Source organism: Homo sapiens, chromosome 1, assembly GCF_000001405.40.
Source record: "Homo sapiens chromosome 1, GRCh38.p14 Primary Assembly".
Classification (NCBI taxonomy): domain Eukaryota; kingdom Metazoa; phylum Chordata; class Mammalia; order Primates; family Hominidae; genus Homo; species Homo sapiens.
In genome coordinates, this window is record NC_000001.11 from 79,265,295 (window position 1) to 79,277,924 (window position 12,630).

A 12,630-nucleotide genomic window follows, 5' to 3' on the forward strand; every position below is an offset into this window, starting at 1 on the left:
TAGAAACAGAATCAAGCTATTTAAATGTAACTTAAAAGAGAAAAGGGGCTGTGCAACATAATCCTTTTAAATAACTGTTTAGAATTAGAATGAGATCAGTCCAGAGACTCTTCTCACTCTGCTGCTAGTGTGGCAATAATACTGTAATACAGGAAAAGAAGAAGCATAAATATTCAAGGGTCTATGCTGAGATCAACATTTTAGCTTAAAAGGCAGTTCCTGCTTTCTCCCTGTCTGTTGCAGAAGAAACTGACACTCAGGAAGATGACAACATTGCAGACACTGATGTTATTATTTCAAGCCCTACAATCATGAGCCAACAATAATTGTCCATGACTTTAACAAGCATGAAGTCAAATGCCGAGAGATCACTGAAGGCTCTGAAGAGTCTTGCATTATTGTTAACTTGGCAAGATATAATAGTATAGAATGATCAGTAGTGTGAAAGTTTTTCTATAATGAACTGGTTCTAAGCTATAAGGCTGAGAAATGGCCCAGTTGAGGTAGCATTTTGAAGAGATAGCTGAAAAACTAGTGATATTTGAAGACAAAGCAAGATTCCAATGTTGAGGGTGGGGTAAGCTACTGCTATGATCTGAACGTTTGTGTGTCTTCAAAATTCATGTCAAAACTTAATCTCCATTGTGTGATTTTAAAAGATGGGGCCCTTAGAAGATTATTAGATCATGGGGGCTTGGCCCTCATGAATAGAATTAGTACCCTTATAAAAAAGGTTTAATGGAGACTTCCACTTCTTCCACCAAGTGAGGACACGGCAGGAAAGCACAATCTCTTTTTTTTTTTTTTTTTTTTTTGAGACGGAGTCTCACTGTCGACCAGGCTGGAGTGCAGTGGCCCGATCTCGGCTCATTGCAAGCTCCGCCTCCCGGGTTCACGCCATTCTCCTGCTTCAGCCTCTCGAGTAGCTGGGATTACAGGTTCCGGCCGCCACGCCCGGCTAATTTTTTGTATTTTTAGTAGAGACGGGGTTTCACCATGTTAGCCAGGATGGTCTCGATCTCCTGACCTCGTGATCCACCCACCTCGGCCTCCCAAAGTGCTGGGATTACAGGCGTGAGCCACCACGCCCGGCCAATCTTTAAAGCAGAGAGCAAGCCCTGATCAGACATTCATTCTGCTGATGCCTTGGGTTCTTAGACTTCCTAGACTTCAGAACTGTGAACAATAAATTTCTGTTTATAAATTACTCAGTCCATACTATTTTGTTATAGCAGCCTGAACATAGGAAATAGACATGAGGACTTAATTACACCAAATAATCTGGAAAAGATTGGAACCTTCTGCTTCAGACAAAGTCTAGAGCACTGGCAGCTAACATTCTTTTCATGATGGTTTTTCAGCCTAAACTGACTAGCCAAATGTTTTCAGAACAGATATAGTTTCTGTATCCAAAAAGAAAATAAATCTGAGTTCTACAAAATAAGAATAAATATTAGACAGAAAAAAGAATGGATTTTCTTAGTGGGTTATTAAAAATAATTATAATTTTCTCATTTTTCCCATAGGATCATGTCATGAATGACATGCCAAAATATATATTGTTTTACTTGATAGTCTTCCTATATATATATTACACATATCATATATTATAAATATAATTATAAAATTTAAATTTATACATATATTTTTATATATTATATAACTTTCCACTAATAATATAAAGTTTCCACTAAAATCTAATAATTTTCAAAAGTGACTTTATTAGGCAATTTGAATTTTTAAAAAAATTTGTGTGATTTCCTCTGAATTGTAATTGAAATTTTATTATGCTCAAAATGTTGTTTAACTTGTGGACAAACTTTTTTGACTCTAAAGATAGATTGGTCAATTCCCTTCCATCAGGTATGAGACTATCGCCTTTGTCTACTTTGGTGCTATGTGGAGAATAAAGAAAAACTTCCTAGACAGAGTGTAGTAATACCTTCTTAATATTATATTTTTGTTTATAGAACCCTGGAGAACCAGCCAAGTGTGGTGGCTCACTCCTGTAATCCCAACACTTTGGGAGGCCGAGGTGGGCGGATCACGAGGTTAGGAGTTTGAGACCAGCTTGGCCAACCCCATCTCTACTAAAAATACAAAAATTAGCCGGTTGTGGTGGCACGTGCCTGTAGTCCCAGCTACTGCGGAGTCTTAGTCGGGAGAATGGCTTGAACCTGGGAGGTGGAGGTTGCAGTCAGCCAAGATCACACCATTGCACTCCAGCCTGGGTGACAGAGTGAGAGTCCGTCTCAAAACAAAACAAAACAAAAACCCTGGAGACCCTTAATTCATTTTTGTGCCCATATGGAGACATCAATATTGAGGAGCTTAAAGGATTTAACATGGAAGTGATCACTTTTTATCCTGCCTAAGATGGAAATAGGAAAACAGGTGGTGATTCCTAGTCATCAAATAAAGCTGCGTCCTTAATAAGAGAACTATGGAAATGCCCACTCTTTATTCCCTAAAGTTCCACTTGGTAATTGACTGCCATTTAATAAAATGAGTTTGTAATTATATATGGATTTGGCTAGTTGTTTTTTTTTCTTTTTCTTTGATGAACCCTCTAGGCCTACAGAATAATCTATTCCGAAGTAATCTTTCAACCGCAAGTTTTCTATCAGTAAGAATTTGGCAGAATTGTTGCAAACTCTAGTATTTAGGTTACACATAATTGTCATTAAAGGGTAATGAAATTTATCATTATAACTATCAAGTTATAACTGAACATTATAGGATTCTAAATGGATATTACCTGGAAGGAAATAAGACATGATCTTGGTCATATCAACAGTTAGATCATCCAAATAACAATGAGTCTAATAGGAGATATTCAACCAGTGCAAATCTCACAAGGTCACCCCACATATATCCAAGAATGAACAATTAAAATATCTGCTAACACTTAATATGCAGGTAGTGGAGAAATGTAAACTTAAGAGAAGTTTATTGAGTCAAGTAATTTGTGTTGATTTACCCACCATTTTTCAGATGTTTGCAGACAATTTAATTCTGGTCTTTGGGAGTTATACCCTCAAATTTCCTAAGGGGTAGGAGTAGGAGTTGGGAATATCTTTCGTTCTTTGGAGCTTGGCATTGCTTATTTCCTTGATGGTTTGTTTGTTGTTCTGACCTAGTGCTCTAATTAGCTGTTGAAGGAAAAGGCTCTTTAGGGAAGTCACTGAGTGAGGTGTAACTAAGCCCTGACAAAAGGGGTTAGCCTGTGGCTGGTCAAAGTGGGATTAAAGTAGTGAGGAATCAACCTGAAAGTTTACAACATCAGTAAAAAGCATGTATGAGGGAATATCAGGGTATGGAAACTTCTCAAAGAAATGTTGATCAAAAGCTATGTAGTCTTTCATATTTCCTGTATCGTGCCAGTTATGAGGCTCTTGTCTCTCAGCTTCAAATGTACCCTTCCATATTCTGCTTTGTGATTTTGAAATTCTGCAAAACATATTTCTGCTTTGCCAGCAGGCTTTCTGTTAGACCCTGTCAATAAGAGGTGCTGGAAAAAGACAGTAAGGCTTGAGGAAGAACACATTCCTTTCTGCTCGTTACCTTAGCCTGTTTGTACTTCCTGTTCTTGTTACCGTTGTGTCAGCCATAATTTTTTTTCACCTCAGTAACAGCAGTTGATTTCAGCTTGCAATTTTTTCCAACACTCAGAGACAGAATCTGTTCTGCCACCCTTCGGAGGCACCAGCAACAGCTGACAGTGTCCATGAGAGGCCTGGATCCTAGTTCCCTGGACCCCCAACTCCAAGCAGAGACATCAGTGGTGGCTGAGCACTGTCCAATTAGAGGTCCATGTTCCAGTACTGTGGGGCCCTTTCTCCTAGATTTTATTCTTTAATTCCAACTCTTTTGTTTGTCTTCCCAGCTCTAGAAATAATACCTACTTCTGGAAATTGCCACTTCGAGGACACATTAGTTTTCCTTTTTGCATTTTTATTTTTCAATACTTAACAATTATTTACACTGAATTATCTTTATTAAAATAAGTGGTGTTTTTAATTCTGTGACTGGATGCTATAACTGATACATTCCTTGTCTATTACTCAAAATGGCTTTTTTTTTAAGAGGCTTTCCTCATTTGGGAGTAAACAATGAAGAAAATTAACAAAATAAAATATAGAATGCAGAAAGAAAAATAAAATTATAAAATCGTTTTGTTTCTTAGAAGATCATATATAGTTCTTGCGGGCGCACGGCACCAGGACTGGCAGGCAGCTCCACCTGCAGCCCCGGTGCAGGATCCACTGGGTGAAGCCAGCTGGGCTCCTGAATCTGGTGGGGATGTGGAGAACCTTTATGCCTAGCTCAGGGATTGTAAATACAGCAGTCGGCACTCTGTATCTAGCTCAAGGTTTGTAAACACACCAATCAGCACCCTGTGTCTAGCTCAGGGTTTGTGAAAGCACCAATCCACACTGTATCTAGCTACTCTGGTGGGGCCTTGGAGTACCTTTGTGTGGGACACTCTGTATCTAGCTAATCTGGTGGGGACTGGAGAACCTTTGTGCCTAGCTCGGGGATTGTAAACACACCAATCAGCGCCCTGTCAAAACAGAACACTCGGCCCTACCAATCAGCAGGATGTGGGTGGGTCCAGAAAAGAGAATAAAAGCAGGCTGCCCCAGCCAGCAGTGGCAACCCGTTTGGATCCCCTTCCGCACTGTGGAAGCTTTGTTCTTTCGCTCTTTGCAATAAATCTTGCTACTGCTCACCCTTTGGGTCCACACTGCCTTTATGAGCTGTAACACTCACTGCGAAGGTCTGCAGCTTCACTCCTGAAGCCAGCCAGACCACGAGCCCACCGGGAGGAACGAACAATTCCAGACTTGCCGCCTTAAGAGCTGTAACGCTCACCGCGAAGGTCTGCAGCTTCACTCCTGAAGCCAGCCAGACCACGAGCCCACCGGGAGGAACGAACAACTCCAGACGCGCCGCCTTAAGAGCTGTAACACTCACCGGGAAGGTCTGCAGCTTCACTCCTGAGCCAGCGAGACCACGAACCCACCAGAAGGAAGAAACTCTGAACACATCTGAACGTCAGAAGGAGCAAACTCCAGACGTGCCACCTTAAGAGCTGTAACACTCACTGCGAGGGTCCGCAGCTTCATTCTTGAAGTCAGTGAGACCAAGTTCCGGACACATTCTCAGGGCCAAAATGGCTGACTAGAAGCAGCTACAGTGTGTAGCTCTCAGGGAGAGGAAGGAAAGGGAAGAGTAAATACAGCACCTTCAACTGAAATATCCAGGTATTCACATTGGGACTGACCAGGGAAACAGCTGGACCCACAGAGAACGAAGAAAAGCAGGGCAGGGTGATGGCCTGCACGAGAGTGACACGGAGCCAAGGGAACCTCCCCCTCCCAGGGAAGTGGTGAGTGAATGTGCCAACCCGGAAAACCGTGCTTCTCTCATAGATCTTTGCAAGCCTCAAGTCAGGAGATACACTCCCAAACCCACTGCACCAGGGCCTTTGGTCTGACAGACAGAGCTATGTGGAGTCTCTGCAGAGCAGCTGCTGAGGCACACACAGAGATGCAGGAGCTTTACATACTCTGACCCTGGGACCCTTGGCAAAGGTGCCTGCCTCTCAGGCAAGGAGGGAAGTTGGATTCAGGAAGGGAACTGAATTCAGGAGGCCAAGCAGTGTAGGTCTGTGGGCTCCATTTCCACAGTGCCTCATAGGATAAGATCCACTGGCTTGGAATTCCAGCCAGGAACCTACCCTCCAAACACCCCCGCCCCACCCACAACAGTTTTGCACCTACCTGGGATGTGACAGAGTTCCCGGGTTGGGAGTGTAGGGGCGGGAGGCCACCATCTTTGCAGTTTGGATAACTCAGCCTTTCCAGCTTGCAGGTTTAGGAAAGTCCAAACCAAACTGACTGAGGATGGAAGGGACCCTCCCCCAGCACAGCAGAGGTGCTCTACCTAAATGTGACCAGACTGCTTCTTTAAGCAGGATCCCCATCCATTCCTCATCTCAGGGCAGAGCCTCCCAACAAGGGCCTCCAGCCAGCCCCACCCATATTCTCCAGCAGACAAAGTTTTTATTTCTCCCTGGGATGGAGTGCCCAAGGGGAGAGGAGGGCCAACTTCTTTGTGTTTGGACAACTCAGCTGTTCCAGCCTGCAGACTTAGGAAAGTTCAAACCATCTGGGGGCAAAAGGGACTCCCCCAACCCCCAGCACAGCACATCTGCTCTACCAAAATGCAGCCAGACTGCTTCTTTAAGCAGGTCCCTGATCCACTGCTTATCTCTGAGTAGGACCTCACAACTGTGGCTTCCAGCCACCCCTGCCCATATTTTCAGGCAGACAGTTTTGATTTATCCGTGGGATGGAGTGCCCAGGGGTAGGGACGGGCCACCATCTTTGCTGTTTGGGCAACTCAGCCATTCCAGCCTTTGGGCTTAGGAGAGTCCAAACTGCCCGCAGGTGGAAGTGGTACCACAGCATGGCACAGCTACTCTATGAAAGTGTGACCAGACTGCTTCCTTAGTGGGTCCCTGATCTGTTCATCCTCACTGAGCAGGACTTCCCAACTGGGCCCTCCAGCCACTCCCACCCACATTCTCTGGCTGACAGAGGTTTCAAAACTTCCTAGTATAGCATTCCTAAAGGGAGGGGTGGGCTACCATCTTTGCTGTGTCAGCAACTTAGCCATTCCAGCCTGTGGGCTTTGGTGAGCCTAACTGAAGGGGGAGAAGGGTATGATGGGAGGGAGGGGCAGAAATGGTGCCCCAGCAAAACATGGCTGCTCTACTAAAGTGGGGCTAGGCTGCTTCTTTAAGCGGTTCCCTGATCCTGTTCCTCCTGGCTGCTGGGTGAGACCTTCCAACCAGGGTCTCCAGCCATCTCCTACAGGTACATCCCTGCTGGCAACAGGTGTGTACACTCCTGGGACAGAGTTCCCAGAGGGAGGGGCTGGCTACCATCTCTGCTGTTTTGCAGCCTTCACTGGTGATACGCCAGGTACTGGAAAATCTGTGGTGACTAGGGACTGGAGCAGACGCCCAGCAAACTTCAGCAACCTTATGGAAAAGTGGCCCAACTGTTAAAGAAAAACCAAAACCACAACAACAAAAAAAACTCATCCAAAGGCCAGCAACCTCAAAATGAAGGTAGATAAGCCCATAAAGATGAGGAAGAATCCATGCAAGAACTCTGACAAGTCAAAAAGCCAGAGTACCCTCTCTCTTCCAAATGACCACATCACCTCTCCTGCAAGGGTTCAGAATGGGGCTGAGGCTGACATGGCTTAAACAACAGAAGTGACTTCAGAATGTGGATGATATGGTTTGTCTGTTTCCCCACTCAAATCTCATCTTGAATTCCCATGTGTTGTGGCAGGGACCTAGTGGGAGGTAATTGAATCATGAGGCCAGGTCTTTCCCACGCTGTTCTCATAAGAATAAATCTCATGAGATCTGATGGTTTTATAAAGGGGAGTTTCCCCTGCACAAGCTCGCTTCCCTTGTCTGCCACCACGTGAGACATGCCTTTCACCTTCCGCCATGATTGTGAGGCCTCCCCAGCCATGTGGAGCTGTAAGTCCAATTGAACCTCTTTCTTTTGTAAATTGCTCAATCTTGAGTATGTCTCTATCAGCAGTGTGAAATGGACTAATACAGTGGATAAAAACAAACTTCACTGAGCTAAAGGAGCACATTCTAACTCAATGCAAGAAAGCTAAAAATCACGATAAAACATTGCAGGTGCTAACAAACAAAATATCCAGGATAGAGCTGAAAAACACAATACAATAATTTCATAATGCAATCAAAAGTATTAATAGCAGAATAGATCAAGCAGGGGAAAGGATCTCAGAGCTTGAAGACTATCTTTCTGAAATAAGACAGGCAGACAAGAATAAAGAAAAAAGAATAAAAAAGAATGAACAAAACCTCCAAGAAATATGGGGTTATGTAAAGAGACCAAATCTATGACTGATTGGTGTACCTGAAAGAGCTGGGGAGAATGGAAACAATTTGGAAAACATTTCAGGGTATTACCCATGAGAACTTCCCCAACCTTGCTAGACAGGCCAACATTCAAATTTGGGAAATGCAGAGAACCCCAGTAATATATCTCATGAGAAGATCATCTCCAAGATGTGTAATCATCAGCTTATCCGAGGTTGAAATGAAAGAAAAAGTGTTAAGGGCAGCCACAGAGAAAGGCCTGGTCACCTACAATGGGAAGCCCATCAGACTAACAGACCTGGCAAACCACTGGTTTAAGTCCAAGGGTCCAAAAGCTGAAGAACTTATAGTCCAATGTTCAAGGGCAGGAAGCATCCAGGAAGGAAGAAAGATGAAGGTTGGAAGACTTAACAGGTCTTCTCTTTTCATCTTCTCCCTGCTTTATTCTAGCTGCACTGGCAGTTGATTAGGTGGTGCCCACACACATTAAGGGTGGGTCTGCTTCTTCCAGTCCACTGACTCAAATGTTAATCTCCTTTGGCAACACCATCACGGACACACCTATGAACAATACTTTGCATCCTTCAATCCAATCAAGTTGACAATATTAACCATCACAGGCAGTAATAAATAGCCTACCAATGAAAAAATGTCCAGGACCAGATGGATTCACAGCTGAATTCTACTAGATGTACAAAGAAGAGCTGGGACCATTCCTACTAGAACTATTTCAAAAAATTGAAAAGGAAAGGCTTCTCCCTAACTCATTCTATGCCAAATGATGCCAAAACCTGGCAAAGACACAATGAAAAAAGAAAACTTTAGGCCAGCATCTTTGATGAGCATCAGTACAAAAATCCTCAATAAAGTACTGGCAAACCGAATCCAGCAGCACATCAAGAAGCTTATCCACCACAATCAAGTAGGCTTCATCCCCAGGGTGAAAGGTTGGTTCAACATACATAAATCAATAAATGTGATTCATCACATAAATAGAGCTAAAGACAAAAATTATATGATAATCTCAATAGATGCAGAAAATGCTTACAATACAATTCAACATCCCTTCATGTTAAAAATTCTCAATAAACTAGGTATTGAAGGAACATAACTCTCAATAATAAGCACCATCTATGACAAACCTACAGACAACATCATACTAAATGTTCAAGAACTGGAAGCATTCCCCTTGAAAACCAGCACAAGACAAGGATGCCCTCTCTCACCACTTTTATTCAATATAGTATTGGAAGTTCTAGCCAGAGTAATCAGGCAAGAGAAAGGAAAAAAGGCATTCAAATAGAAAGAGAGGAAGTCAAACTATCTCTGTTTGCAGATGACATGATTCTGTGTAAAGAAAACTCCAAAGTCTTGGCCCCAAAACTTCTTCAGCTGACAGACTACTTCAACAAACTTTCAGGATACAAAATCAGTGTACAAAAATCACTAGCATACCTATACACCAATAATAACCAAATTGAGAGCCAAATCAGAAAGGTGACCTCATTCAAAATTGTCACAAAAACAAAAAAATATGTAGGAATACAGCTAATCAAGGAGGTGAAACATCTCTACAATGAGAATTACAAAACACTGCTCAAAGAAATCAGAGAAGATACAATTGAATGGAAAAATACCCCATGCTCATTGATAGGAAAAATCAATATCATTATAATGGCTACATTGCTAAAGGCCATTTGTAGATTCAATGTTATTTTTATGAAACTGCCAATGACATGCTTTACAGAACTAGAAAAAATTATTTTAAATTTTATATGGAAACAAAAAAGAGTAGAATAGCCCAGGCAATATTAAGCAAAAGGAACAAAGCTGGAAGAATCACATTACCCAATGTCAAACTATACTACAAAGCTACAGTGACCAAAATGGCATGATACTGGTACAAAAACAGGCACATAGGCCAATGGAACAGAATAGAGAGCTGAGAAATAAGGCCACACACCTACAACTACCAGATCTTTGACATAGCTGACAAAAACAAGCAATGGGGAAAGGACTTCCTATTCAATAAATGGTGCTTGGATAACTAGCTTGCCATATGCAGAAGACTGAAGTTGGACCCTTTCCTTAGACCATATACCAAAATTAACTCAAAATGGATTAAAGACTTTAATGTAAAACTCAAAACTATAAAAACACTGGAAGGCAGCCTAGGCAATACCATCCTGGACATAGGAACAGGCAAAGATTTCATGACAATGACACCAAAAGCAATTGCACCAACAGCAAAATTGACAAATGGGATCTAATTAAACTTAAGAGCTTCTGCACAGTAAAAGAAAATATCAACAGAGTAAACAGACAACCTAAAGAATGGGAGAAAAATTTTGCAAACTACCAAACTATACATCTGACAAAGGTCTAATATCCAGTATCTATAGAGAGTTAAACAAATTTAACAAGAAAAAAGAAATTTAAAAATGGGCAAAGGACATGAACAGACACTTCTCAAAAGGAGACATATATGCAGGCAACAATCATATGAAAAAAAGCTCAATATCACTGATCAAGAAATGCAAATTAAAGCCACAATGAGATAGCATTTCACACTAGTCAGAATGGCTATCATAAAAAATTTTAAAAAAAATTAAAAAAAGGAACCCCGATACACTGTTGATGGGTGTGTAAATTAGTTCAATCATTGTGGAAAGCAGTTTGGCAATTCCTTAAAGACCTAAAAGCAGAACTACCATTCTACATAGCAATCCACTACTGGGTATATACCCAGAGGAATATAAAGCATTCCACGTAAAGCTACTGTTCACAATAGCAAAGACACGAATCAACCTAAGTGGCCATCCATGACAGACTGGATACAGAAAATGTGGTATATATACATCATGGAATATTATGCAGCCATAAGAAAGAATAAGATCATGTCTTTTGTGGGAGCATGAATGGTGTTGGAGGCTATCATCCTTAGCACACTAACACAGGAACAAAAAATCATATACCACATGGTCTCACTTATAAGTGGGAGCGAAATGATGATGGACACAAAGAAGAAAACAACAGACACTAGGTTCTACTTGATGGGGGAGGGTGGAGTAGGGAGAGGAGCAGAAAAGTAACTATCGGGTACTGAGCTTAATGCCTGTGTGATATAATAATATGTACAACAAACGAAGTGTTTATGTAACAAGGCTTCACATGTGCCCCCAAACTTAAACTAAACATTGAAAAAAACAACAATAACACATAAAAAATAGTTCCCTTAAAAAAAGAAAATCATATATACACTTTAGACAGAGAGATGTGAACTAGATAGATACATAGAAAGATATAGATGTAGATGCAAACTTATATAGCGATATGAATATATGGATAGTGTTATGGGTTGAATTGTGTTTTCCAAAAGCGTACATGTTGAAGCCCTAACCTTTAGTGCCTCAAAATGGGACTTTATTGGAAATAAGGACTTGGTAGATATAATTTGTTAAAATGAGGTCATACTGGAGTAGGATAATCCCCTAGTCCAATATGACAGGTGTCCTTATAAAAGGAGAAATTTGGACACAGACATGAATGAGCATTGGGAGAATGTCAGGTGAACACGAAAGCAGAGATTACAGTGATATATCTGGAAGCCAAAGAACACCAAAGACTGCCTGAAAACTACCAGAAAATAGAGGGACATGGGACATATTCTCCCTTACAGTCAATTGAAGGAACCACATTTAGCTACCAGAACTGAGTGTAAACTGAAAATAAAATTCTAAGCCCCCCAACCAATTGAATGGACCCCTCCTCTTGGCCAAGGGCATTCCTAAGATAACACGAAAAACTAGTTCGGGCTAACTAGATGAGGTTAATGAGGGTCAGACATACCACATTATACTCTACTTCTTTTGGATTTCAGGCACAGAAGGCCAGCATTTAACATTAAAACAGACCTTAAGACTGACAAAGCAGACTCTCTGTAGCAATAAGATACCGATATGATAGATAAAAGGCCTTAAAAGAAATCAAAGTATTTTACCCCAAAATATATTTATTTGACATATTTTGAAATGATCCTGCAGAGGTGTCTCTTCCCTTTTCCCTTCCCTTTCCAGGTTTTTTCCCTGATCCAGGAGAGAATTAACTAAGAGTCTGGCACCTTTATAAGTCTGATAAGAAATATTTACAATATATTCTGTCTGAAGCCTGCTACTTGGAGACTTGCTTCATCTGCATAATAAAAATCCTGATCTCCACAATCTTTTGTCTTAACCCAGACACTCCCTTCTATTGATTCCAGATCTGTTTTGTTTTGTTTCTGTTTTTTGAGACAGAGTCTCACTTATCACCCAGGCTGGAGTGCAGTGGCATGATCTCGGCTTACTGCAACCTCTGCCTCCCAGGTTCAATCCGATTCTCCTGCCTCAGCCTCCCAAGTAGTCAGGATTACAGGTGCATGCCACCACACCCAGCTGATTTTTGTATTTTTGGTAGAGACAGGGTTTCACCATGTTGGCCAGGCTGGTCTTGAACTCCTGACCTCAAGTAACCCACCTGCCTCGGCCTCCCAAAGTGTTGGGATTACAAGTGTGAGCCACTGCACCTGGCCAATTCCAGATCTTTAGATAAACTCTTTCAACCAATTGCCAATCAGAAAATCTTTGCAACCACCTATGACCTGGAACTCCCCAGCTTTCCCCTGCCCCTTCAAATTGACCTGTCTTTCC

The 12,630-nt window shown here is 41.8% G+C and overlaps 1 long non-coding RNA gene across 1 annotated transcript in view, besides 2 other annotated features; it reads left to right on the plus strand.

The window, feature by feature from the left end:
* Positions 734-968: a silencer, noted in NCBI's record as "fragment chr1:79731713-79731947 (GRCh37/hg19 assembly coordinates)". NCBI's record gives its function as "represses an EF-1alpha promoter that drives an FKBP-Casp9 reporter gene in an ReSE screen in K562 erythroleukemia cells {active_cell/tissue: K562}" and the evidence as "EXISTENCE:reporter gene assay evidence [ECO:0000049][PMID:32094911]".
* The window catches only part of LOC105378810 (uncharacterized), a 136,420-nt gene continuing 126,323 nt past the window's right edge, over positions 2,534-12,630 (plus strand). Inside the window, exon 1 of the long non-coding RNA XR_001738113.2 lies at positions 2,534-5,392. This is a non-coding gene — a long non-coding RNA (uncharacterized LOC105378810). The remainder of the gene's footprint in view (positions 5,393-12,630) is intronic.
* Positions 4,363-4,869: an enhancer, noted in NCBI's record as "H3K27ac-H3K4me1 hESC enhancer chr1:79735342-79735848 (GRCh37/hg19 assembly coordinates)". NCBI's record gives its function as "activates a minimal SCP1, AML or CMV promoter by ChIP-STARR-seq in naive H9 embryonic stem cells {active_cell/tissue: H9 hESC(naive)}" and the evidence as "EXISTENCE:reporter gene assay evidence [ECO:0000049][PMID:30033119]".